General features: G+C 37.2%; 1 protein-coding gene across 15 annotated transcripts in view; it reads left to right on the forward strand.

Annotated features, from left to right (window-relative positions):
- The window catches only part of DISP1 (dispatched RND transporter family member 1), a 190,957-nt gene that overhangs the window by 147,394 nt on the left and 16,032 nt on the right, over positions 1-27,531 (forward strand). For 12 of the 15 annotated variants that reach the window (NM_032890.5, NM_001350630.2, XM_011510075.3 and 9 more), the window contains one exon: positions 20,648-20,677. In NM_032890.5, the coding sequence (NP_116279.2) occupies positions 20,648-20,677 (30 nt within the window). Of the gene's footprint in view, positions 1-17,189; positions 17,453-20,647; positions 20,678-26,923; positions 27,093-27,531 lie in introns of all 15 variants that reach the window. The other 3 variants (XM_017002612.2, XM_006711594.4, XM_047432774.1) reach the window with 3 other exon arrangements.

Consider the following 27,531-nt stretch of genomic DNA (forward strand, 5'->3'; position numbering starts at 1 on the left):
AAATTTCATATGGAATGAAAGAACACCCTGTATAGCCAAGACAGTCCTAAGCAAAAAGAACAAAGCTGGAGGCATCACACTACCTGACTTCAAACTTTACCACAAGGCTACAGTAACCAAAACAGCATGGTACTGGTACCAAAACAGACATATAGACCACTGTAACAGAACAGAGACCCCAGATATAACACCACACATGTACAACCATCTGATCTTCAACTAATCTGACAAAAACAAGCAATGGGAAAAGGATCTCCTATTCAATAAATGGTGCTGAGAAAACTGGCTGGCCATATGCAGAAAACTGAAAGTAGACCCCTTCCTTACTCCTTATACAAAAATTAACTCAAGGTAGATTAAGACTTAAATGTAAAACCCAAAACCATAAAAACCCTAGAAGGAAACCTAGGCAGTACCATTCAGGACATAGGCATGGACAAAGACTTCATGATGAAAATGTCAAAAGCAATTGCAACAAAAGCCAAAATTGACAAATGGGATCTAATTAAACTAAAGAGCATCTGCACAGCAAAAGAAACTATCACCAGAGTGAACAGGCAACCTACAGAATGGGAGAAAATTTTTGCAATCTACTCATCTGACAAAGGACTAATATCCAGAATCTACAAGGAACTTAAACAAATTTATAAGGAAAAAACAACCCCATCAAAATTGGGCAAAGGATATAAACAGACACTTCTCAAAAGAAGACATTTATGCGGCCAAGAAACATGAGAAAAGACTCAACATCACTGATTATTAGAGAAATGCAAATCAAAACCAAAATGAGATACTGTCTCACGCCAGTCAAAATGGAGATTATTAAAAAGTCATGAAACAATAGATGCTGGCGAGGCTGTGGAGAAGTAGGAACACTTTACACTGTTGGTGGGAATGTAAATTAGTTCAACCATTGTGGAAGACGGTATGGCGATTCCTCAAGGATCTAAAACCAGAAATACCATTTGACCCAGCAATCCCATTACTGGGTATATACCTAAAGGATTATAAATCATTAAAGACACATGCTCAAGTATGTTGATTGCAGCTCTATTTACAATAGCACAGTCATGGAACCAACCCAAATGCCCATCAATGATAGACTGGATAAAGAAAATGTGGTACATATACACCATGGAATACTATGCAGCCATTATAAGGAACAAGATCATGTCCTTTGCAGAGACATGGATGGAGGTGGAAGCCATTATCTTCAGCGAACTAACACAGGAACATAAAACCAAACATCACATGTTCTCACTCATAAATGGGAGTTGAACAATGAGAACACATGGACACTGGGGGGGAACAACACACACCAGGGCCTGTTGGGGGGTTGGGGGTGAGAGAAGGGAACTTAGAAGATGGGTCAATAGGTGCAGCAAACCACCATGGCACATGTATACCTATATAACAAACCTGCACATTCTGCACATGTATCCCGGAACTTAAAGTAAATTTTAAAGAAGAGAAAAAAATAAAGCGTTATAAAACTTAGAAGAATTCTTAGAATCTCATTTACAAGTTAATTTGGGGATTGTCTCTTTCAGGTCCTCTGCCTAAATAAAATTATCTTGATCCTTAATTAAAAAAAAAGAAAAGCCAGGCATATAATCCCAGGACTTTGGGAGGCTGAGGCAGGTGGATCACAAGGTCAGGAGTTCGAGACCATCCTGGCCAATATGGTGAAACCCTGTCTCTACTACAAATACAAAAATTAGCCGGGCATGGTGGTGGGCACCTGTAGTTCCAGCTACTTGGGAGCCTGAGGCAGGAGAGTCGCTTCAACCTGGGAGGCGGAGGTTGCAGCAAACCAAGATCGCACCACTGCACTCCAGCCTGGCGACAGAGCGAGACTCTATCTCAAAAAAAAAAAAAAAGTGTTTGGAAGATTAATTAAAAAGTTACTAGTAAGTGGTAGAATGTGGAATGAAGTTTAAGTGTGTCTGATTCGAAGCCTTCCTCTTAATCACCACTCTATGCTGTGCAAACACAAGAGAATGAAATATTTTTTGTTTTCTTGCTATAACTTTTTTTTTCGTTTCAGTAATAGCTTAAGAAACAGTTAACAAGTGCTTACTACGTAGCAGGTGCTGTGCAGGTTCAGTCCTGAGATCATAGAACTGAAATCACATGGATCACACAAATAATCGTGAGGGTATAGGTGATGGGTCATAGGCTGCCCTGGTCATTTTTAGATCATAGAAACAGCATATTCACAGTGCTACCTTGCACAGACCCTGAAGAAGAATTCCACCTAATTCCTTTAGCCTGTTTATATCATGTTGTACTTTAACACCTTACCTGGTGCAGGATACGCAGTGGGTTTTTCAGTGGGCTTTTGAAAACGCTAGTAGTAATTGGAGAAATTATCTGAACTGAATTTTCTAGTTTAAATGTTAAAGCTCTGTGTTGTCATCTTCAGGAATTTTGATGCCTTTGCTCCAGCTCCCAGGCTAACAAACACTGCTTGCTGGAAGAAAATGGAAACGGTGCAGATTTTACCCATTCTGGTTTCATGCTTCTGTCACAACTTAGTCCTCACAGCTAACTCCCAAGCACACTTCCTTCAGTAGTTTTTTTTTTCAAGTATTCTTCTATTCCATGTTAACTCAAATCATAGTTTACTCTCTTAACACCCATACATGGGCAGTAGCACCTTCTACTTTATGAAAACAATAGAAAATTTCGCTGCAGTATAGCCTAGTGGTTAAGAATGTAGGCTCTGGAGTAGGCTGCCTGGGTTTGAATCCTGCCTCTTTAACTATGTGGCTTTGGGTGACTTCTTTAACCTCTCTGTGCCTTAGTTCTCCATCGGTAAAATCTATGCCTACCTTATAGAATTATTTTAAGAATTTTAAAATATTGTAATATATGTCAAGTGCTTAGGTCAGTGTTTGGCACATAGTAAAGTCTGTAAATGTTGACTGTTGTTATTTTAAATATATTATTATACTTAATACTTTAACTTCATATGGTCTTTTTTCTTGCTAGTGCCCTGGAGTCTAACTTCTTCTGTCACCATTACTTTCCTGGCAATGCCAGGTCAGTGACTCCTTTGACAAACTCATTTGATTTCTTCTCCTGTTTAGTTCTATAGCATGCAGTCTCTGTTTACCACCTCTTCTTAAACAGTTTTCTTTTTCTGCATTCCATGATCTTATGCTTTTCTTTCTTTTTATTCTGTGCACTGCGACCATTTCTGCCCTCTTTCACAATTAACAGAGCCTCTTCTTTCACCCTTTCATATGACTGTCATTTCCATAATATCTCACTCAGTTTTTTTCTTACCCCCATCAACTTTTTAAAATTTCAGATCTCTATTTCCTGTCTATATTTATCACTGTTGTGGTTATTTTTATATTCACATTAGCCTTCAGGACAGCTTTATTTAAATATTCTATCAAGCCAGGACGACACAGTGAGACCTCGTCTCTTAAAAAAAAATTACCTGGGCATGGTAGTACATGCCTGTGGTGCCAGCTACTTGGGAGGCTGAGGAGGGAGGGAGGATCACTTGAGCCCAAGAGATCAAGGCTGCAGTGAGCCATGAATGAGCCACTGCACTCCTGGGGAACAGAGCAAGATCTTGTCTCTAAATGGATGGATGGATGGATGGATGGATAGATAGAGATATTCTGTCAAACCAAAGTATCAGAGTTAATTTTTACACTGTAGTTTTACACTGTAAATCAGTGTAATTTTTTACACTGAAGCATTTCTTTGTTTATTACACTTAAGTAAGTATACCCACTTATTGTAACTAGATATTGTTGATTCAGGTGGGAACTCAAACTTGGAAAGAAACTAAAATGTAGGGAGGCAGAATAGTATGGATTTTAAAAATAATAACCTAGGAAAAATAACATAATGACAAATAACAGTACCAGTAGTAGTTTTATTGTAGATCAGTGAAGTTTTGTTGCTCATCAGAGGCCTTCTACAGGTTATATAAGATCTATACCTCATAAGTCATTGGAAAAGGTATTTCTAAAACTTCAAGAGAAAAAAATCAATTAAATCTCATCTAGGAGTCACTCATTAATAGGATTAAAACATTACTAGGACTTCATTTTTATGTATTTTCATAAAGTTGAATTAACCTGAATTTTAACTATGTAAGGTTTTGCTTAAACTTTTATCTTTGGCTGTCTTTAAAAGGTGATCCTTTAGCCAAAACTAATCTGTGGTGATAGAAGCCTGAATGTTGATTGCCTCTGGGGACAGGGTATGATTATTGATTGGGAAGAGGCACAAGTGAGCCTTTGAGGTGCTGGGAAAAGTTGTATATTGTGATCTGAGTGGTGGTTACATAGATGTGTACATATGTAAAAATGCATCAAACTCTACACTTTAACTTAGTGCCTTTCACTGAAGACTTGAGTGAAATCAGAATGGTTTAAAAGAATGATGTAAGGGATTTAAGAACTCCCCCCACCACCAATCTTAAAACTTCCTTCACCCTCTTGGCCAGTCCATATACACTTGGAAGGCAGGGACAATACTCTATTAATTTTTGGATTCCTGGTATGGAGTGGGAGGGAGGATATATGCAGTTGGAGGAAAAGGGAGATGATTTCCCTTCAGGTCTGCTCTTACTAGAGATTATTAATAAACCCAATTCCACTCTGAGTTGCCACCTCACCATCTTCAAAATGTCACCATCTTCACATCAAGGGGGAATAGATCTACATATATATATATCTACATTATATATATACATGTATACATATGTAGAAATATTCCCCCTTGATGTGAAGATGGCAACATTAAGCAGCATTTTGATTTCAGAATCTGAGAAGTGGAGGACTTTGTGACATGATCACATTCTTGCACCTGTCTTCCCTTATTTGCTTTCCCAGTTGCATCTCTGTTAGCCTCTCATCTTCCTAGTTTGGTACTTAAGAGCAGAAATTGTATCTTTGATTTCTTACTGTTCAATTTTAGTGTGGAGAAGAGATGACAAAATGAATGATTTAATAATGCTGAGAAAATAAAGGGCTGTCTTTAGGCAACCCTTCTTAGGAGAGGTCATAACACATCTTTTCCATCTCTCTGTCAAAGATGGTATCTAGAAGCAAGCCAAGATTATAGAAAGATTTAAGTTTTCCATATGAAAGAGCCAGATTTAAGGCCAGGAAGAAGGAATAGAAAGGGTGATTTGAACATTTATGACAACAGAGAGCCCTTGGATTCTACATATATAAGACTTTTTCCTGCAAAATACTTCAACCTATGATGTAAGTCAGGTTCTGGGAAAACTTAGTAAGCTCAATTGACTTGGCATTGAATGTGAGTTTGCTTTGTAAGAAAGATCTATATGCACAAGGAAAGCATACGGGAGTCTTGGTGTTCATGCATTTGTCCTGTTATGAAGTTGTTCTGAATGAACTGAAAGCCCCTTCAGGATCTTTGTTCTAGACTCTAATTTAGCATGTGCATACCATAGAGAATTATAGTTCTTATATTTGGTTTGGGGCCCATTTAATCCTCCGGTCTTTCACTGACTAGAATTATTTTCAAGCTACAGATGCAAGAATAACACTGTAAACCCATTCTCGAAAAGGGAATTACGATCTTTTTAATGTATTCTGCCCTGGGACTTGCCTGTGTTGAAGCCAAAATGAAACAATGTGATTCTGCGAAAAGAACTGGTAGACACATCAATGGATACACTAGGAAAAATGAAACAAACTGCACAGCACACATAAAACTTCCATAAAGTCAAACTGCTTGATAACTCAGTGGGCTCCTGACTTCCACTTAGTTCCCATTCTCAAATGGGGTCAGACTAAAATTCTTTTCTTCTTACAAGCCAAGAAACCATATGCAACTCCCCTTCAGGAAATGAGGAATCAGAAAATAGATCCCCATTTTCCCACTATTCTCCTGCCCAGTTTCCCAAAACCTGGCTAACAAAATGGGCACCAGTTAACTGAGAGATTTCTGTTACCACTGTTGTAGTTCTAGAAAGACCATCCAACTCAGAATCTACGTTCATCCCCACTGTTAATTAAACCTCAGTGAATAACTGTTACTAGATGACATGAAACTATAGCCCATACCAAGATGAATTTGGACGGTTCAGCCAGACTCTGGAAATTCAATCCCATAGCTGCACAAGTGTGCCATGATTAGCTATTATTTTTACAATATTGGGTGCTGTACATTATGTCAAAATTAATTTTTAGATTTTTTTCCCCCTTAAAACAGAGCTTTGGCTGGGCATGGTGGCTCATGCCTGTAATCCTAGCACTTTGAGAGCCAGAGGCAGGTGGATCACCTAAGGTCAGGAGTTCGAGACCAGCCTGGCCAACATGGTGACACCCCGTCTCTACTAAAAATACAAAATTAGCCAGGCATGGTGGCGCATGCCTGTAATCCCAGCTACTTGGGAGTCTGAGGCAGGAGAATCGCTTGAGCTTGGGAGGCAGAGATTGCAGTGAGCTGAGATAGTACCATTGCACTCCAGCCTGGGCGACAAGAGCAAAACTCTGTCTCAAAAAAAAAGGAGTTTTACCAAAGATGGTAATTGAAGCATCAGAAAGTAATAGAGCTGACCTAGATTATTAAGTAAGTGGAATTGGGAAAAACTAACATCTGGATCAAGGATGACTCTTTAATTGTAAAAGCAGTCATAGAAATTACTAAGAAAATGCTGGGCACGGTGGCTCACGCCTGTAATCCCAGCACTTTGGGAGGCTGAGGTGGGTGGATCATCTGACGTCAGGAGTTCGAGACCAGCCTGGCCAACACAGTGAAACCCCATCTCTAGTAAAAATACAAAATTAGCCAGGCGCAGTAGTGCATACCTGTAATCCCAGCTACTCAGGAGGCTGAGACAGGAGAATCACTTGAGTCTAGGAGGTAGAGGTTGCAGTGATCCAAGATCATGCCATTGCACTCCAGCCTGGGCAAAAAGAGTGAAACTTGGTCTCAAAAAAAAAAAAAAAAATTACAAAGAAAAATACAAAGTGTTGAAAAAAAATTTAATGCCTATCCAAAAACCATCTTGAAAAATACCACAAACTAGGAAAACTATTTGCCACAATTGGGGATGTTTCCTAGCTTTAATTCAAGATTCTTACAAATAAATGAGAAACAAGTTGCAATCTAACGTAACGTAGTAGTATGGTTACAATTGTGTGATATATAAGTAATGGCAAATATAATGGAACATGTGGCTACTAAAAATCATGTTTTCAGAAGATTTTAATTATATGGAAAATGCTAATCCAAAGTGATAATACTTTATGCATCTAGTGTGATCATAATTTTGTTTATATTTAATTTCTATATTTAGGCAAAAAGGAAAAATATTCAGAGAAAATAGATCAAAAAGAGTTACAATGTTTTATCTGTGTAGTAAGAATATGGGTAATTGTGTAATTTTCTGCATTTTCTTAGGCTTCAGGAAAATGTGTTAGTTTTATAATCAGAAAACAAACCAACATTAATACAGAAAATATATTCCTCATTAAAGCTTTCCTCTTCCTTTAAAAATTAAACTTTATATTTTAGAATAGACAAAACATTAAGTGAAAAAGTCTACTAAAGGAAAATTTTTAGAATGAAAAAAGAGGGGCGTATATTGCCTTTCTGAGATAGTAAATGAGAAACTCAGGAAAAGTACTTTGGGAAATTTTTAAATACCCCTTTTAACTTGAGCACTCTTTCGTATTTGCTCTTCTGATAAAACTCACTCGGTTGGTAAACTAGACGATTCCTGAGCAATCTCAACATGACCATCTTTAGTAACCTGGCGTTATTTCCTACAGTGTGACATGCACCAGCACGGATGTGTTATTAGTGTCACCCGTTCATCAATCTCCACCTTCATCTAAGGCAGACAGATGGAGAATTCTGCTCTGTCTTCCTAGCAAGCATTTTTGAGCTCTTTTTTTTTATTAAGCCATTTATCTAGTCATTTAAAAAGTCTGTCTCTAGCCGTTCACATAAAGAGCCGGCATTATTTTTCAAAGCATTTTAAAATACTAGTTCTTGCCTACCTTATGGGGGGATCATTTTTATTGCCTATTCATGTGAAATATTTTAACATCAAATTTTGATTACAGGAACCTGGCTCACTAGCTTTAGCCATGCCAGAGTGTTGAAATACTTTAGGAGACTAAAATATGTGGTGATTTGAATTATCTAAAATTCCACAGGAAAATACAATAGAATTTCACAGCAGGAAAGGACCTTAGAAATAATTTAATCTAACTCTCCTTATTTTACAGAGGAGACTGAAGCCAAAGAGGCTAAAACCCAAGATTAACACCCAGTTTGAAACTGGTCCTCTGATTTCTCATTGCCGTCTTTTAAAAAATACATTATACTTAGAATTTGTTTCTAAAAGTTGTCACATAGTATTTGGGTGTCACTGGCATGTATAATAGATTCTGGAGTTGCAAACAGAATCTACACCGTGACAAATTGAATACAATGAATTTAAAGTTTTCCCTGGTTGCCCTAGTGCCAAAGTGTAAAAGGGACATTATTACAGTTTGAGGTCATGCAGCCCCAGCATCTTGTGGCTTTCCCTACTTTTCGTCAGAAAAGTCTCATTATTTCCTCAGTTTAATTATTTTAAGTTTAGTTGATTTTTTTTCTTTTCTAATCTCAGATTTTGAGAAGAAAACCTTCTAAATCAGTATTATTTTTATTAACGCTGATTGTTAGAGTTTTGCTTTGATCCTTATTAAAGCTTTTGACAATGATTTGAGTTACAAAAATTTAAATTTTAAGTTAGAGATTAAGCATGAGAAAGTTTAGATCAGGAAGAAAAATCAATTTCACTGTATATTTTTGTCCTTAAAAGCATAGCTAAAGAATTTCTATAGAAGTTTGAGGGAAATGTCTCTCCTCCTGGCCTGTAAATGAAGATATCACAACAGCTGCAAGGTATTGGTTACACCGTTGGAGTTCATTTTGATACAGTGGATTTTTTATTATTTTTTAACCCCACACCCCCCAAGTTTTTTTTTTTCATAGCAGGTGTGACTTTTAACCTTCCAAACTCAACCTTGTATGATACCGAATAATTCTGTAGGGACAAAATGATCCAAGATATGTGGGAAATGAACTTAAGAAAGATTAATAATGTTTCTGTAATTTTAAGCTTAAGTAACAGTTCTTACATTGAACACAATGTAGACAAACTACAAATTGAAACTAAGCAAATGTTGGAGGAAAAGAGAATCCGCACATTGATGAATTATGATTGTATTTATACTTTTGATCTGTGGTCTCATTGATGAAGGCCTTGTCCTGTTAACAAATGAGCAAATTTGAGATGGGATCTTAGATATAAAATACATAATTTGAACTTACTTTCAGAAATGCAAACATATCTTCACTGAGGTTATAATTAACACAAAAACTCTTTATGCAATTTGTATAGTTTATAGTGAAAATGTGGAAAGGTTTTAGTATTTTATGTAAGATCCATAAAATTTTGAAAGTGAGAAATGTGTGTGTATCTTAATGAAGGTAATAAAATATATTTGTTGAATTAGGCTTAATGTAAGTTCCAAAATGTACTTATAAAACCGTACCCTCAACCTGTAGACTAATCTTTTGAACAACTTATTTGTGTTGTAACTCAAATTATCACTAACTTCACTTCAGTAGATATTTTCGATTATAGTTTGAGGCACTTCTAATTGTACTTATATAATTATATAAAATATTAGACAATAGTGAACATAGAAATATGTTATAACATGCATAGGATATATAAACTTCGGTTTATCCAAAATGTCACCAGAATTATTTTCTTATAATGTCATATATATTTATGACAATAGATGCTTATAATTTTGATTCACATATTGATAAGATTGTCAGAGGCTTTCTAAATTACTTAAAGATTATTTTCCTTTTTTTCTCTTTATTCTAGGTCACTGCAGTAGCTCCTAACCTGCTCTCCTTCCCTTTAGCATTTCCCCTAGCTAATTCATCCTACACATTGCTACCAAATCAGTCCTCCGAAAATAGTGTTTTTATCCTATCAGTTGTTACTCAAGAAACTTTAGCCACTTCCTATTTCTATTATCCACTTCAATCTCTTGCTTCCCCTCAAACAACCCCTAATCCAGTAAGTTGTGATCCTCACTAGTCCTTCATAGTAAATCCTCACTGACTTTGCTTATAGGTATTGACACAAGGTTTGTTTCCTTTCCTTTTCTTTCTGTTTCTCTATCTGAAACCTACTTATGTCAAACCTTAATTCTAATTCTGTTTCTTAGGTCAAGTTTCAGGGGCTATTCTTTGGACTACTCTGGTCCAATATTATCTTCCTATTCCCCATTCATTCACGTAATGTTTGTACTGTACCTATACGTTATAATTACTTTCAGTGTATTGTTCTCTAATTTTTTCTTGTCTGGAGGTCATATTTTCCTGGCAAATTGTCCAAGACAGTGGTTCAAGCTCTGACTGTGTAGTCTCTATTTCAAGACCTACTGAACCAGATCCCTGGGGAGGGGGTTGGAAATCTCTAGTTTTAGTAAGCTACCCAGGTGATTCCAGTGGTCATCAAATTACTTGGTATCACTTAAACTGGCAGTGAATTAAACAGAATTAACTATAGATTGTATTAAATGTATTTTAAGTTTATGGAAATGTATGATCTTTGTATAATGTTACTTCTTTTCATCTAAATTAGAGTTAGCCAGGATGCCCCATTCTCCCCAAATTATGTAGAAGTGAGAAATTTTCAAATAAAATGTTTCTATCACATGTACATAAATGAATACATATGCAATTACCCTTTATAAAAATTCAGTTCACTTTTTAATTATACAACTAATTTATGAACATATGCTCATGAGGAATTCAAAAATGCAAAATGAAACTCACTTTTTATTCTTTTCCTAATCCTTTTCTTTCCTCTCTGGTAAACAGGTCTATTGATTTGCCAAGTTCCCTTCTGAGCTTCTAAAATATATTTACGTATTTTGTATTTAGTTTTCTTTTTTCATATGAATACAGTATGAGTTGTTTTGAAACTTATTATTTTGTTTTAAAATTCTTTCCATATCAGTGTATGTGTATGTATATGTTTGTATATGAATGTGTACTCACATTGTGTAGTGCCCCATTGCATGGATGTGCCGCCATTTATTTAAGAATCTTCTTATTAACAAGTGAACAGTAAGGTTATTTAAGAATCTTCTTATTAATAAGTGAACATTAAGATTAAGGTTGCTCTCACTTATTTTCCTTATTGTAAGTCACACTTCAGTGGACATCCTTGCATATGCCCTCTTGTGCACAAGTGCCATTTGCTTTTGATTAGGAAGCTCTTCCCATTTCTGCGTTCCTTTTCATTTTCAGTTCACAAGCAATACCTCATAGCCTGCATCAGTGTTCAGCTTTTCCTTTTCAGTATGTGGCCAATAAAGCACGGGATCAAGTCAAGATATTTGGATTCTAGACCTGGCTCTGCCATTGACTTGCTCTATGATCTTGGACCCTTTTCTCCTTTGTTTCATAAAGGTGTTAAGTGGGATGACTTTTAGGGTTTCTTACAGTTCTGACAGTCTCTTATTCTAATTAGGCTTGTGGGTGTGACAACATCGATTGTTATGTCATATTCAGCTAGTAGCAAGAATCGGTTGATCTTGTTAAGTAAATCATAAAAGCGTACAGTGCTGATGAATAAAGGGACTTTATGCTTTACTCTAAATGAGTCTTTGCATTACTCCTAACTGATGTTTGAATGCCATTTTTGGATGAAAAAATAACAGTGTGGTAGTAGTACCTTTTTTCTCTTGGATAATTCTCAACAGTTTATAGAAAACTGTTACACACACCAGCTCATTTTAAAGTATTGTCTCTTTCTCACAAATCCTGAGTAATTAAAGGAATTGCTCAAGATCATCAAGATCATTCAACTAATAAGTTTCAGGGTCCAGACTTTAACTTCACATCTTTTGATTTCTAAGTTCACTGTTCTCTTAAAGAGAAAAAAGTATTTTTTTCATGCTCAAAATAGTTATTCAATATATGCTACATTTCTTTTTTGAACATTTATAAAGTACGTAGTATTTACAAGGTGCTCTTTAAATGTTAGTCCCGCCATTCCCAGCCTTTCTCTCATGCTTCCTAGTTTATTTTGTATAGAAGCTGGCACTTTGTTCAGTTTTAACAGTTCTAGACACCAAGATGACCAACACTTTTGAGTCAGCATCTCGTAAGCATTTAGGAAATGCATCACACAAGTAGTTGTGGTTTTTGTTATCCTTAAAATCACTTGACAGAGACCATAAACATTGAGCTCTGGTGCATGAAAAATGGGTTAGAGGCCAAGCTTAGCTTGTCTGCAGGGTATCTGTTTCATCTTCATGATAGAGCCCAAGTGTGCCAGTGATGTTTCATGGAAATACTTAATATGAAGAATGGCTTTGTTTTTGTTGGGAATCTTTTAAAGAATGCTCATCAAAGTGCGGATTTTTTTTATTTTCAAATATTTTCTTCCTAACTTACCAGTGCTGAACTGAAGTTACTACTTGCAGAATAGCCTTTCACAGAAAGACAGTATGATACAATCCAATGTGACTTTTGAGGTTAAAATGTGCTACTTACAGCACTTTTTTGCTTAAAAATTTGGTTACTACCATAAAGCTGAAAGTATGCTTTCTTCATGGTGCAATCTTGCCTCACAGCAGCACTGACCTCCTGGGCTCAAGCAATCCTCCCTTCTCAGCCTCCTGAGTAGCTGGGACTACAGGTGCATGCCACCACCCCAGCTAATTTTTTTATTTTTTATAGAGATAGGGGCTCACTATCACGCCCAGGCCAGTCTTGAACTCCTGGGCTCAAGCGATCCTCCCAGCTGGGCCTCCCAAAGTACTGACATTTGCAGGCGTGAGTTACCGCACCCACCTGAGACTGTCCCTTTGTAAGTTGTGGTGTTAATTCTGCAGTTATGTCTAGAATAGAATTCTCTAGACTGATGGGAAAGTTTTTGTATTTCAGTATTCTTATTTGCTTTACAAGCTCCCCTTCTCCTTCCAAAAATTATTAAAAGAGAAAAAAGGTGAGCAAAACAAAGAAACAGACAATTTGGAGCTTTTCCACATTTTTTCTGTTTCTTAACTTTACCCCTTTCACACTCCTTTTTTTCTATTACCTTTTTTAAAAATTTCCCTTGCCTCTGTACCCCTATTATCTTGATTACTCCGCTTGGTACCTCCCACTCTCCCTCCTTCTGAGAACTTTACAGTCTCATTAGTTGTCCTCTTGACTGATACATGTACACATACCGCAGTTCACTGGTCATCAGAGTACTGTAGCCAAGGTTCTCAACTGCTGTTCCAGTTCTCAAGTGTGAAGTGCCAAGGGCAATTTGTTACTAATTATGAGAACCCCAGTTTGTACATGCTTTGCTTTTTTAAAAAACAGATATGAGCTTAGCCCTCAAATAATGTCACTGTCACTCACTTGCATACAGAAATGCTTTCTTGAGTGGGAGAGAAAGAATGACACTGCAGCTGGTGGACTGTCTGAGGACCCAAGCTTATCTACACTACAGCCTGCGGGAGTGTGTGGTGGGACGCGCAAATGTCATCTTTCCTTGGGCCTTTTCCCAGCAGAAAAAAACGCTAAAAACCTAATCAAAGAACAGAAAAATGTTCCCACTGAAGATTATTGCTGCTTATTTGGGTTTGTTTTTATTAAAAAGTGAATGCTGGAAAAAGATAGTTTCTCTCTCCGAGGTTAGATTTGTTTATTTTTACTAGACAAGACTAGTAAAAATAAAAATTTGTTTATTTTTACTAACACAAGACTGAAGTTAGGGTGAAGGTCATCCGTAGGTTTTATTAGGTCGATATTAAAAGTAGCAAATCCAAAGGGTTTTACAAATGGAGGAAGACTGCTTTTCATCTATGAAAGTATGTAGTGGACTCCCTGGCTAGCCTCCTTTCACAGGTGTTTCTGGTAAGAGATTGCAAAAGCAGAATTAAAGAAGGCAGCACTGTAAATCAAACAGGTTTCATGTTTTACCTGTAGTGTGGTTTGGGTGTTTCCATCATCTGTTTGTCACGTCCATTTGTATAGAAACTTCAGAGGGATCTAATGTTTTCCTAGGAGGTTTCTTTGTGGTAACCTCAATTTTTCTTTTCCAACTGATGTTGACAGTCTCTACTTACTGTCTCAAATTTTTTTAACATAAAATGAAATCTTTACTCAAGCAGAAAGACTGTGATGAATCTATAGTTGTTTCTCTCCAGGGAGTAAATTAGTCATAGATCCATGAATTTCTATTTAGTTAAAAGAAAAAGTTAGTGGCAGAGAGAGGGTTTACATTTGTTACAACCCAAATGTCTGTAACAAAATACATTTCTTTGCTCAGTACATGTTCCAGAATTATGGCTGTGAGGATAATTTTAGTTCCAAAGATAGCAAAATCTCCTAATTTCTCTTGGAAATTCAAGATGTATTTTTAAGAATGCATAAGTGAAAAAATGGGATTGAAAAATTAAGATTTTTGTATACAAGTGATTTGCTTCCTTGTCCACTGCCTTACTCTCTGGAAAAACACATTTGCTTTCATAGCTCATTAATAGTTTCATCACTGGTGTTCAGATAGCATATTCTTTTTTTTGAGACGGAGTTTCGCTCTTATTGCCCAGGCTGGAGTACAATGGCGCGATCTCGGTTCACCGCAACCTCCGCCTCCCAGGTTCAAGCGATTCTCCTGCCTCAGCCTCCTGAGTAGCTGGGATTACATGCATGCACCACCATGCCCGGCTAGTTTTTGTATTTTTTTTTAGCAGAGATGGGGTTTCTCCATGTTGGTCAGGCTGCTCTTGAACTTCCGACCTCAGGTGATCTGCCAGCTCTGGCCTCCCAAAGTGCTGGGATTACAGGCATGAGCCACCACGCCCGGTCAGCATATTCTTTTTTTTTTTTTTTTTTTCAAAGAGGGCTGACAAATATTGTTTTATTTGTTAAGGACTTAGTTGTCTTGTCTTGGAAAGGCTTAATTACAAATATTTTTTGTCTAACTCCCATAACTTTACATGTACTTCTTAGATTACTTGTCACTATATTTTTATGACATCATTGTCATTTTCTTTTTTTTTTAAATTCTTTTTTTTTTTTTTATTATACTTTAAGTCTTAGGTATATGTGCACAACGTGCAGGTTAGTTACATATGTATACATGTGCCATGTTGGTGTGCTGCACCCATTAACTCGTCATTTAACATTAGGTATATCTCCTAATGCTATCCCTCCCCTCTCCCCCGACCCCACAACAGGCCCCGGTGTGTGATATTCCCCTTCCTGTGTCCATGTGTTCTCATTGTTCAATTCCCACCTATGAGTGAGAACATGCAGTGTTTGGTTTTTTGTCCTTGCGATAGTTTGCTGAGAATGATGGTTTCCAGCTTCATCCATGTTCCTACAAAGGACATGAACTCATCACTTTTTATGGCTGCATAGTATTCCATGGTGTATATGTGCCACATTTTCTTAATCCAGTCTATCATTGATGGACATTTGGGTTGGTTCCAAGTCTTTGCTATTGTGAATAGTGCCACAATAAACATACGTGTGCATGTGTCTTTATAGCAGCATGATTTATAATCCTTTGGGTATATACCCAGTAATGGGATGGCTGGGTCAAATGGTATTTCTAGTTCTAGATCCCTTCCACAACGACTTCCACAATGGTTGAACTAGTTTACGGTCCCAGTGTAAAAGTGTTCCTATTTGTCTACATCCTCTCCAGCACGTGTTGTTTCCTGACTTTTTAATGATTGCCATTCTAACTGGTGTGAGATGGTATCTCGTTGTGGTTTTGATTTGCATTTCTCTGATGGCCAGTGATGATGAGCATTTTTTCATGTGTTTTTTGGCTGCATAAATGTCTTCTTTTGAGAAGTGTCTGTTCATATCCTTCGCCCACTTTTTGATGGGGTTGTTTGTTTTTTCTTGTAAATTTGTTTGAGTTCATTGTAGATTCTGGATATTAGCCCGTTGTCAGATGAGTAGATTGCAAAAATTTTCTCCATTCTGTAGGTTGCCTGTTCACTCTGTTGGTAGTTTCTTTTGCTGTACAGAAGCTCTTTAGTTTAATTAGATCCGATTTGTCAATTTTGGCTTTTGTTGCCATTGCTTTTGGTGTTTTAGACATGAAGTCTTTGCCCATGCCTGTGTCCTGAATGGTATTGCCTAGGTTTTCTTCTAGGGTTTTTATGGTTTTAGGTCTAACATTTAAGTCTTTAATCCATCTTGAATTAATTTTTGTATAAGGTGTAAGGAAGGGATCCAATTTCAGCTTTCTACATATGGCTAGCCAGTTTTCCCAGCACCATTTATTAAATAGGGAATCATTTCCCCATTTCTTGTTTTTGTCAGGTTTGTCAAAGATCAGATAGTTGTAGATATGTGGCATTATTTCTGAGGGCTGTGTTCTGTTCCATTGGTCTATCTCTCTGTTTTGGTACCAGTACCATGCTGTTTTGGTTACTGTAGCCTTGTAGTATAGTTTGAAGTCCGGTAGCATGATGCCTCCAGCTTTGTTCTTTTGGCTTAGGATTGACTTGGCGATGCAGGCTCTTTTTTGGTTCCATATGAACTTTAAAGTAGTTTTTTCCAATTCTGTGAAGAAAGTCATTGGTAGCTTGATGGGGATGGCATTGAATCTATAAATTACCTTGGGCTAGAATCAATATATAAGCTGGGCACAGGGGCTCACGCCTGTAATCCCAGCACTTTGGGAGCCTGGGCGAGAGTGTCACTTGAGCCCAGGAGTTTAAGACCAGCATAGGCAGCACAGGGAGACCCCACATCTACAAATAAAAAATCTAAAAAATTAACTGGGTGTCATGGCGCACGCCTGTGGTCCCAACTACTCAGGAGGCTGAGGTGGGAGGATTACTTGAGCCCAGGAAATTGAGACTACAGTGAGCTGGCCCACTGCACTCCAGCCTGGGTGACAGAGCAAGACCTTGTCTCAAAAAAAAAATTTAAATTTAAAAATTTTTAAATAAAATTAATTTATAGTTGTAGTGATGGTTGCATAACTCATGAAAGTACTGAAAACATGGAATTGTACACTTAATTGGGTGAATTATGTGGTATATGAATTATATCTCAATAAAACTCATTGAAAAATCAATGTGTAATTGTATTTGAAAATACAGCTTTTGGGGGTTTTTGGTCTTTTGTAGATTCACCAGAAAAACTAAGTGTGCTTCATGGCTTCTTCAGATGTGAACGTGTTCACTGAAAGCCCAGTCTGTGTAAAGCTGCTAAGCCCTCACCAGCTCACTGGAGTGGCCCTGCACTCCGTCCCTCTATGCATACTTGGATAGCCCTGGCCAGCTGAGCGCTGCAGGTCAGGAGGCTGCTGTCTCCTACAGCCACACACTTCTGCTCCCAGCATTTGACAAGTGTGCTTACCAAACCCACGCATGCCAGTTGGCTTGTTTTGGTAATTATGTTATCTGATTAATGTTTTTAGTTCACTTATATATAGATGCTAAAAGAAAAAGTTGTTTTCACGAAAAGAAAATTGTAGCCTTAGGAAAAAAAGGTTAATTGCTACAAAAAAATTTTACTGCTGAATTAGGCATGGAAGAGAAAATTGTAAAAGATCTGGGGAAAAAAATCATCAAAATTTAGTTGTGTATTGTAGTCAGTATATCCAGGATACTCAAAAGTATCCAAAGTCCTCAAAAACTCAGTCATAGACAATGCAGCAGGTCTATGGTTTATGTAAGAACAGATTAACATTTATGTTTAAGTTACTATTAGATATTTAAGGAATGTATGTAGAACTTCAAAAAATGTTTCTCTTTAATTAACCTTTCTGATTAACCAACAAACTAATGGTTCCTGCAGCATTGAACAGAGAGCCTATACTGTAGGATACAGAGGCACAGAGAGAAACTTACAAAGTTTAGTAAAATGTTGAAAGAGTTTAGGATTGACAAATAGGAATGGGCTGATGTAACAAAGTGTGTGTGTGTGTGTGTGTGTGTGTGTGTATAAGAGAGAAACAAAATAAAAATTACCTATATTAATATTTATGTCCCTAGCTTCTTGCTTTTTTAATTCATTGTCTACTGATTTCAAAGCTGTTGAGTATGAGAAAAGTAATCAAAGATCCCCATTCATTAATCCAACACGCACTGATCTGACATCCACAAAGGACCATACATTATACTAGTTATGGAGATATGAATACAAATAAGATATGGTTCCTTTTTATGTATCTAATGTCTTTTTTTTAGATTTTTAAAAAATGAATTATCTTTACTGTACATATATAAAAAGAATGCATTTTTGGTATCCTTTATAATGCTGTAAATATTCAGGCTCACCTTTTTTCTTAAAGCAACAAGTTCTTGGCTGGGCACAGTGGCTCAGGCCTGTAATCCCAGCACTTTGGGAGGCCCAGGCGGGTGGGAGGTCAGGAGTTCGAGGCCAGCCTGGCCAACATGGTGAAACCCCATCTCTACTAAAAATGCAAAAATTAGCTGGGCTTGGTGGCATGCGCCTGTAGTCCCAACTACCCAGGTGGCTGAGGCAGGAGGATCGCTGGAACCCAAGAGGCAGAGGCTGCAGTGAGCCGAGATCGTGCCACTGCACTCCAGCCTGGGCAACAAAGCAAGACTCTGTCTCAGAACAAAAAATGACTTCTCTTATGCTGTTCTTAGTGGAAACTCAGACTTTAAGTTCCACATCTGCCAAAAGAAAAGACAATTATTTTCTGTATAAGAGGTTAATACTTTTTGCCCTATGGGCTTTTCTTCCTTGGTTTTACAGACAAATACTCACAGGACAGAGAACAGCAAATTAGGTATCAAGAGACTTGAGTTCTCACTACAGCTCCACTATTAAGATGCTGAGAGACCAAAAGGCAAACTGAGGTCCATCTCTAAAAATGAGGCTGCAGTGGAATTGGAATATATATTCCCTAAAATTCTTTCTGGTGCTTGCAACTTCTGAGATTGTTCCATCTCCTTGGTTTTAATATTTTAATGGGCTTAGAATCCATAACGAGGGCATGTAAATAAAGCTTGAAATTTAGAACACATGCATCTCTTGTATCAACAGTTTAATACAAAATGCATTCCAGAATGTTAGCTCTGTGTAGTTGGGAACCCTGTTTGTCTTGTTCATGGGTATACTAGGAATTAGATAAATGTTTCTTTTTAAGAGTGGGTACATGTATCTGAGGGAGAAATGTAAATGGAGAGAGAAAATAGGAAAGAGAACTTTAGATCTTCAAGAAATTCCAAGGTAGGGTTCCAACTATTGGAAGAGTAATAGCTTGAAGTAGGAAGTTTGGAGGACAGGTTTTTACATTTTGTTTTGTTTCTCCAAGTATGGTACAGTCTGGTGAAAGATTTCATTTTAAGAAAGAGTATGTAGCTAGGCAATTCAATTATTCAGTCAGCAAATATTTATATATCCTCAATAAATTAGTGTAGTGGTTCCTAAACTTTGGGTCATGCAACCCCTTTACAGTTTCAAAAATTGTTGAGAACCTTCAAAGAGCTTTTGTTTATGTGTTTAGCTGATATGTACCATATTGGAATCGAAACTGACAAATATTAAATTATGAAACTCATTAAAAATAATAAGCCCATTACATGTTAACATAAATAACACATTTTGTGAATAATAATTACATTTTTCAAAACAAAAAAGTTTAGCAAGATAAGTATCATTGTTTTACATTTTTGCAAATCTCTTTGACATGTGGCTTACTAAAAGCCGTATTCTCATATTTGTTCTGCAATCTATGGCAATATGCCATTTGGTTGAAATATATGAAGTATATGAAGAAAATCTGGCTTTACACACATCTGTAGTTGGAAAAGGGAGGTCTCACAAACCCCATGAAAGGGTCTCAGGAACTCCCAGCTGTCTTTAGACCACACTGTGATAACCAGTGTACTTTTGTTTGTTCAACAAATATTTATTAAATGCTTTCCAGTAAATAGGAAAAAAATAATCTGATAGGAATACAAAGTTTGGAGATTGAGACTTAGTTTGGAGTTTCTTTAGCAAACTTATCCTATATCTGGGAGGCAAGGTACAAAGGATGAGTGGGAATAATAAAACAGTATGGGAAAGAGCTGATTGGAAATACAAGCCCGTATCTGTTGAAGTAGATTGTGAAGTTAGATATTAAGAAACTGAAAAATGGAGAAGCAGCTGGTATCTTGAAGAGGGAATAGAATACCTAAAAGAAGGTATTAATATCCAATTTTTTTAAGTGTTGGGATCTTTGCTACGTAAGGAAGCAGCTTAGATTGGAGACTGAGGGATGTGGATTCCTGTTAGGGGAGAGAAGACTGAATCTGGTAGCTGTAGATCTCAGAGAAGAATGTTGTACAGTGTGAGTATGATTCCATCAGGAGAGGGTGATACGGAGTCTGGGAAGGTTCTGCCTCCTGACTAGCCACTCGAGCTGTCTCTACTAGTATGTAAAGTAGCCAACATTCATTGTTTAAAATCTCTCAAATAGATTGCCTTTTTTTTTTTAACACTTCCAAGATTCTTTGTAAGAGATAACAAGTAAAATGTTCAACACATATGTAAAGCCTTTGTTTATGTTATGATGTTTATGATGCTCTGTTTTTGATCATTTTTCCTTTGCTTTTTTTTTTTTCAGACCATCCAGACCTTTCAAGTTGCCAAAAAGGTAAAGTAATCTGGGTCATCTTATTAAATAATAAACTTACCTGCATGCTTTTTCCAGTCTAGTATTTTCTCCGTATTTTGCTGTTCTTTTCACTTTCCTCATTCATATTTTTATGAAAGAAAAAGAAATGTCCCATGAGTTGGCTGCTTGAGGAATTCCATATCTCCAAAAGTGGTTTTAATCTTAAGGTAGATTTCTAACCCTATTAAATTCTATTTGTGTCTAGGGCTAGGTGCAGTGGCTCATGCTTGTAATCCCAGCACTTTGGGAAGCCAAGTGGGTGGATCACCTGAGGTCGGGAGTTCGGGACCAGCCTGGCCAACATGGCAAAACCCCATCTCTACCAAAAATACAAAAATTAGCCAGGCGTGGAGGCACGTGCCTTTAGTTCCAGCTACTCGGGAGGCTGAGGCAGGAGAATCGCTTGAACCTGGGAGGTGGCAGTTGCAGTGAGCCAGGATTGTGCCACTGTACTCCAGCCTGGGGGACAGAGCAAGACTCCATCTCAAAAAAAAAAATATTTGTGCGTAAACATTTATATTTGTTTATTTATTTTGCATTCCTTCCTGCAACGGATTGGCTTACTTAGTGAGGAAAGAGATACTGTTCTGCCAACTACCATGACTCGAATTCATGGCAGTTTATTTCAGAGGGGTTGTCTTTCTTTTTAAAAATCTTGTTACCAATGGAAGTATTCTTTTATGTGGAAATGTCTAAGGCTTATCTTTCAATAGAGAAAATTTTAACTTGATAAGAGTTCCTAAAAAAAGCGTTTTCTCATCAGATGTCCTTACACATTGTAATTCCAGATACAATGTCATTACACTTAAGAAATTCTAAGTGATCTTTGAAATTCAGTTGCCAAAGAAGCTCAAATGCTGATAACACTGAAGCCTGCCTCAAGGGAGTTATCCTGTCTTTGAAGTGAAATTACTACATAAATATTAATTAGTAAACTCTCCTTCTATTTAAAAAAAAATATATTTTTAAAATTGTGGTAAAATATACATAATAGGCCAGGCGCAGTGGCTCACGCCTATAATCCCAGCACTTTGGGAGGATGAGGCAGGCGGATCACTTGAGGTCAGGAGTTTAAGACCAGCCAAGGCAACATGGGGACACCTGTGTCTACAAAAAAATACAAAAAGTTAGCCAAGCATTGTGGTTTGTACCTGTAGTCCCAGCTACTTGGAAGGCTGTGGTCGGAGGACCTCTTGAGCTTAGGAAGCAGTTTGTGCTTAGCTGAAATACACCACTACACTCAAGCCTGGGTGGCAGAGCCAGACTCTGTCTCAAAAAAAAAAAAAAAAAAATATATATATATATAGAGAGAGAGAGAGAGAGAGAGAGCGTACTCATATATGTTATATATAACATAGGTTTATATGTTATATATAACATAGGTTTATATGTTATATATAACAGGTTTATATGATAGATATAACATGTTGACATACTTTAAATGTTATAACATGTTTATATGTTATATATGTTGTATATATAACATGTTTATATTTGTTGTATATATAACATATATGTTGCCTTTTAACTATTTTTAAGAGTACAGTTCATTGGCATTATGTACATTCACATTGTTGTCTAACCATCACCACCATCCATTTCCAAAACTTTTTTTCTGTTGTAAAACTGAAATTCTGTACCCATTATACATTAACTCCCCATTTTCTCCTACCCCCAGGCCCTAGCAACCATCATTCTGCTTTCTGTCTCTATGGGTTTGACTGCTGTAAGTACCTCGTATGAGTCGAATCCTACAGTATTTGTCCCTTTGGAACTGGCTTATTTCACTTAGTGTAATTTCTTCCAGGTTCATTCATGTAGCATGTATTAGAATCTCCTTTTTGTAAGGCTGAATAATATTCCATTGTATGTATATACTACATTTTGTTTATCCAATTCCCTTTTCATTTTTGCAAAAAAACAAGAGAGAAAGAAAAAATGAGGGAAAGAGGTATGGAAGTAAATACGGCATATTAAGAAAACAAATTTCTACTTTTCTATAAATAGGGCTTTTGCAAATGACTAAAAATTTTACTTTGAAAAGATTTCTTTCTCTGTTATTAAATTGGTGTTATTAAAACAGAGTTCTAATTTCTTTTACGTACATGTGCATATAAATATAACTTCTTCAACAAAGCCTTTCCTGATTCCCCTTTCCCACCTTGGCTGGAACTTATTGCTTCCCTTATTGAATTCACAAAACATTTCATCTGTACCCCTCTAAAAAACACATATTTTTGGCCGGGCACAGTGGCTCACGCCTATAATCCCAGCACTGTGGGAGGCCGAGGCGGGCAGATCACGAGGTCAGGAGTTCGAGACCAGCCTGGCCAACATGGTGAAACCCTGTCTCTACTAAAAATACAAAAATTAGCTGGGCATGGTGGCGGGTGCCTGGAATCCCAGCTACTCAGGAGGCTGAGGCGGGAGAATTGCTTGAACCCGGGAGGTGGAGGTTGCAGTGAGCCAAGATCGTGCCACTGCACTCTAGCCTGGGTGACAGAGCAAGACTCCGTCTCGGGGTGGGGGAAAGAAAAAAACAAAAAGCACACACTTTTTTTAACCTGTCTTGTAGATATTTGTGTGCCTGTCTTATTTTCTGTATTAGGCTGTAAATTCCCTGAGGGCAAGATCCAAGTCTGCCATTTTTGTATTCCCAGAATGCCTTGCTTCCTTATTGTTTAATGCTAATTGTTGGATGAATTTGTTACTTCACAAGAAAAAGAGTTGTATATTCTTTTCTTTTTTTTTAATTTTCTCAAACTTCAATCACTCTTCTCACTAAGTTGATAGTTGATGCCACTGGAAAAGTTATGACTTAACATTTTGAAATGTCTTATCTTTAAGGGACAAGAGGAATAAGAAAGAGTTATTAAGAGAAACAGAAAAGAATACACCAACGGGGAAAGGATTTTTAGGAAGAAAGAGGTAGCTAACAGTGTTAAATTCTGCTCAGGTCAAGGAAGGTAAAAACCAAGAATAGTTAGTTGACTTGGGCAGTTCAGAAAAGTCATGAGAGCAAAAGCCAGGCTATAAGGGGTTAAAGATCCGGTGGTCGGTGAGGAAAAGGAAGCCTCTGGTGTGGGCACTGAATTATACCATCTGAAACACGGCTTTCTGCTCAGAGGGAAGAGAAAAAAGAAGAGTGTTTTGAGAAAGGCAGCAAAGAGCAAGGGAAAAAAAATCTTTGTAAGCTAAGAGGAAAATTTATTATGGGGGAATGTTATTGTAATATAAATGACCCACTTAAAATTGGCCCCCATTTTAATGTCACTTGAGCATAAGCTGGCTCTATAAGATACTTCGTTTATTTGTTTTAACAGTTATTTCTGATCTGTTTCCAGAGTAAACCCAATAATAAGGTGACTGAAAATCTCTGACTATGTTTGAGGGACTTCCACTGAGTACCAGTGAAAACTCCAGCATGGCAGTAACACCCTGGACCAGAACGCCAGGCAGCATGCCTGCTAACTCAGATCCATGGTTCATCCACGAACGCATTTCATTACCTCTGCTACTTCTGTTCCTTCTTCTGTAAAAGGAGAATGAGCCCTTCAGATCCGTCTCCTATTAGAGACTTAACCTATTGAGAAGATGATGTGAACTTTTATACAGCAGTGCCCTGTAAAGAGTTGTGGTCCCTAACCTCAGCAGCTAGTACAGCAGTAGGGCCTCCGGGAAAAGGGTCTTTCACTGGAAAATGACTACCTGCTGTAAGCCAGGTGTTACAGAGGTGGGCCACATTTACAGTTATATTGTGGTGTCTAAAGATTTTCAATATTAGAGAAGGTGGATGAAAGACAAATATGATTTGATATGCAGAAGAATACATGATAGTTAAAAGAATGGTTCCTTTGAAAATTCTTCTACTCTACATGTGGTTCACTTTTCAAAGAGAATAATGCACAGGATATGGATATATATATATATATATAGCATCATCAAATATATATATATATTTGTGAGATTTATAGACTATTTTTAATTTCCTTTACTTCTCCAATTTTCCTACTTTATTAGACTTTTATCTTCATATTACAACCATTGTCTGGATTTCATATTGCGCAGGCAACTCTGTTTCCCATGTGGTACCCACAGCTATACTATATATTTGCATAGATAGCAGGAGGAGTAGAATTAGCCTCAGCAATTTTGTGGTGTTGAGAAGAAATACTTGTTTGAGTAAAATTTACTTAGAATGATTGGGCTTTCCCCCATGGTGTTTTATATACTCAGGATGGTGATCCCATTACTTAAATGTGAACAGTTATCTCTAGGAAAGGTTAGCGTGGGAAACATCGGCTGTGTAAGGAAGTGGAATTGTAATATAGTGAGGTTAAACGTGTTTGGAAGAAATGTGCTGAAATCACTAATGCCATAAAGTTTCCATATGTAGTCAGTGCACGTATATGGTGTGTAGCAGTGCTGTAAAATCAAAACCAAATGTTTTCAAAGGGAAGAAAAGCAATTATTGAATGGGGCTTTTAACGTTGCTATACGTGTGTGCAGATTTTCAAGAACACAAAATTAAAAGTTATTATATGGGTTAATTAAACCACAGTATGAATACTAAGCAATTTGGGGCCTACTGCCCTCTATTGATAACATGTTAATAGGTAAAAATGCATAACTTCTGATTCATTTGAGAGAAAATGAATCCATTTAAAATAAAGTGTAATGAATAATTGTATAAGCCTGGGGCCATTTTCATTTCACAGGGCTGATATTTTAATGGTCTAAAATGTAAAGGACTCTTTTTAAGTCTGAAGCAATGAAAGTAGTCTCAAATGTGCTATTGAGACAGAGGACTTTATTGCTTCAAAACTAGTTACTTTCATCTTAGTTTGCATTTTGTGGAGGAGGAAATAAAGTAAGGAGAATATTTTTGCACAGGGTGTGTCCTAGAAGTGTGAAAGCTTCTAGACACTTGGTGTTTACATTTGAACAACCACAATCAGCTTATTGTCACTTAAATGTTTTTATTATTTTCAGAATTATTCTAAAAGGTTATTCTGTCATTTTTCCTGAATGAGTTTTTAAATCTAAAATTTGCAGTCTAGTGAATAATGTTCAAACTTAGAACCCATATGATTTTGCATAGAGAAATTAACTATAAATAGGGCTAGGAATTTTTAATTGTAAGTTTTGGGAAACAGACATTTGTGGCAAGTGTAGTTATTCCTAATGTTTCTAGTTACTCTTGTGTCTGAAGAAAGAAATGACAGCCCAGAGATTAAAAGCCCTGACACTAGAACCAGACTATCTAGGTTCCTAGTTTTGTGACATTGAATAAGTTCTATAACTTGTCAATGCTGCAGTTTCATCTCCAAGGGTTGTTGTGAGAATTGAACAATATAATAATTTATGTAAAGCACAAGAGCAACTGGTATTCTGAATAAGGACGAGCTTGTATTTATTTATTTATTTTTATAAGATTTCTCTTTCTCTCTCTCTTTCTTTTTTCTTCCTTTCTCTCTCTTCTCTTTCTTTCTTTTTTCTTCCTTCCTTCCTTTATAGCTTTATTTCTTTCTCTTTTTTTTTTTTTTTGACAGAGTGTTGCTCACCCAGGCTGGAGTGCAGTGATATGATCTCTGCTCACTGCAACCTCCGCCTCCTGGGTTCAAGTAATTCTCCTGCCTCAGCCTCCCAAGTAGCTGGGACTACAGGCGTGTGCCACCATGCCCAGTTAATTTTTGCATTTTTGTAGAGACAGAGTTTCACCATGTTGGCCAGGCTGGTCTCAAACTCCTGACCTCAGGTGATCTGACTGCCTCAGCGTCCCAAAGTGTTGGGATTACAGGCGTGAGCCACTGTGTCTGGCCTTTTAAGATTACTTTAAAAGAGCAGCAGTGAAAAGTGCCTGTGCACATGCTCCCTTAAAGCATAATTGCTCTATATTTTAATATCCTTACTAGAATTATAATTTGAAGCAAATATCTCCACAAAGCCAGATCAATAAAGTTAAGACATCAGATTATAAAAATTGGCAGTCTATTATTAGAGACATATAGTAGCTTTTTTTCAGACTGACATTTAGAGCCACCAGAATTATTTGTAACTACTAGCATGATTTTGAAGAAATAACTCAAAAATATATGAGTAAGAATCCTATTTCAAATGAGCCAGAAATAGCCATTGCAGCAGCCAAATGAGCTAACATTACTGAGAATTTGAGAGTAGTGGTCCACAAGTTAAATATTTTGTCTTGCTTTTCTTCTAATAAAGATTCAAGAAGCCAGAAGTTTGCAGGATGCATTTTGAATTTTAGAAAACGTTCAGTTTAGTCAGCTTCTGTTGGGTACTCAGCTCATATCAAGACTTGGAAGTGCCAAAATAATAACGTGTGATCCAGGACCTCATGGAAGGGATACAGAAACAGATCTTTCAATTTGAGGTAACAAATGAGGGTGTGGGAAGCGCATCTGGAAGAAAGGGCCCAGTGTTAGGATTTGGTAATAGAGACAGTTCTGCACATGTGGGAAGAGACTAAAACCAGATTGTAGTAGCTGGAGAGTACAAGCATCAGATGTTTGTTCATTTAGTCAATAGATAGTTATTGATCAACTTCCACTGACAAGAATTTCTGCTCTCATGGAACTCACATATCTAGTGGATATGCTCACTGTAGTTTTAGCTAGAAGGAAAGTTACAGGTTTATGGGAAGTGTTTAGTTTAGTTTTTTTTTTTTTTGAGACAGAATCTAGCTCTGTCGCCCAGGCTGGAGTGCAGTGGCATGATCTCAGCTCACTGCAACCTCCACCTCCCGGGTCCAAGTGATTCTCCTGCCTCAGCCTCCCAAGTAGCTAGGACTACAGGCGTGTGCCACCATGCCC

The sequence above is a fragment of the Homo sapiens genome, chromosome 1 (genome assembly GCF_000001405.40).
Source record: "Homo sapiens chromosome 1, GRCh38.p14 Primary Assembly".
NCBI lineage: Eukaryota > Metazoa > Chordata > Mammalia > Primates > Hominidae > Homo > Homo sapiens.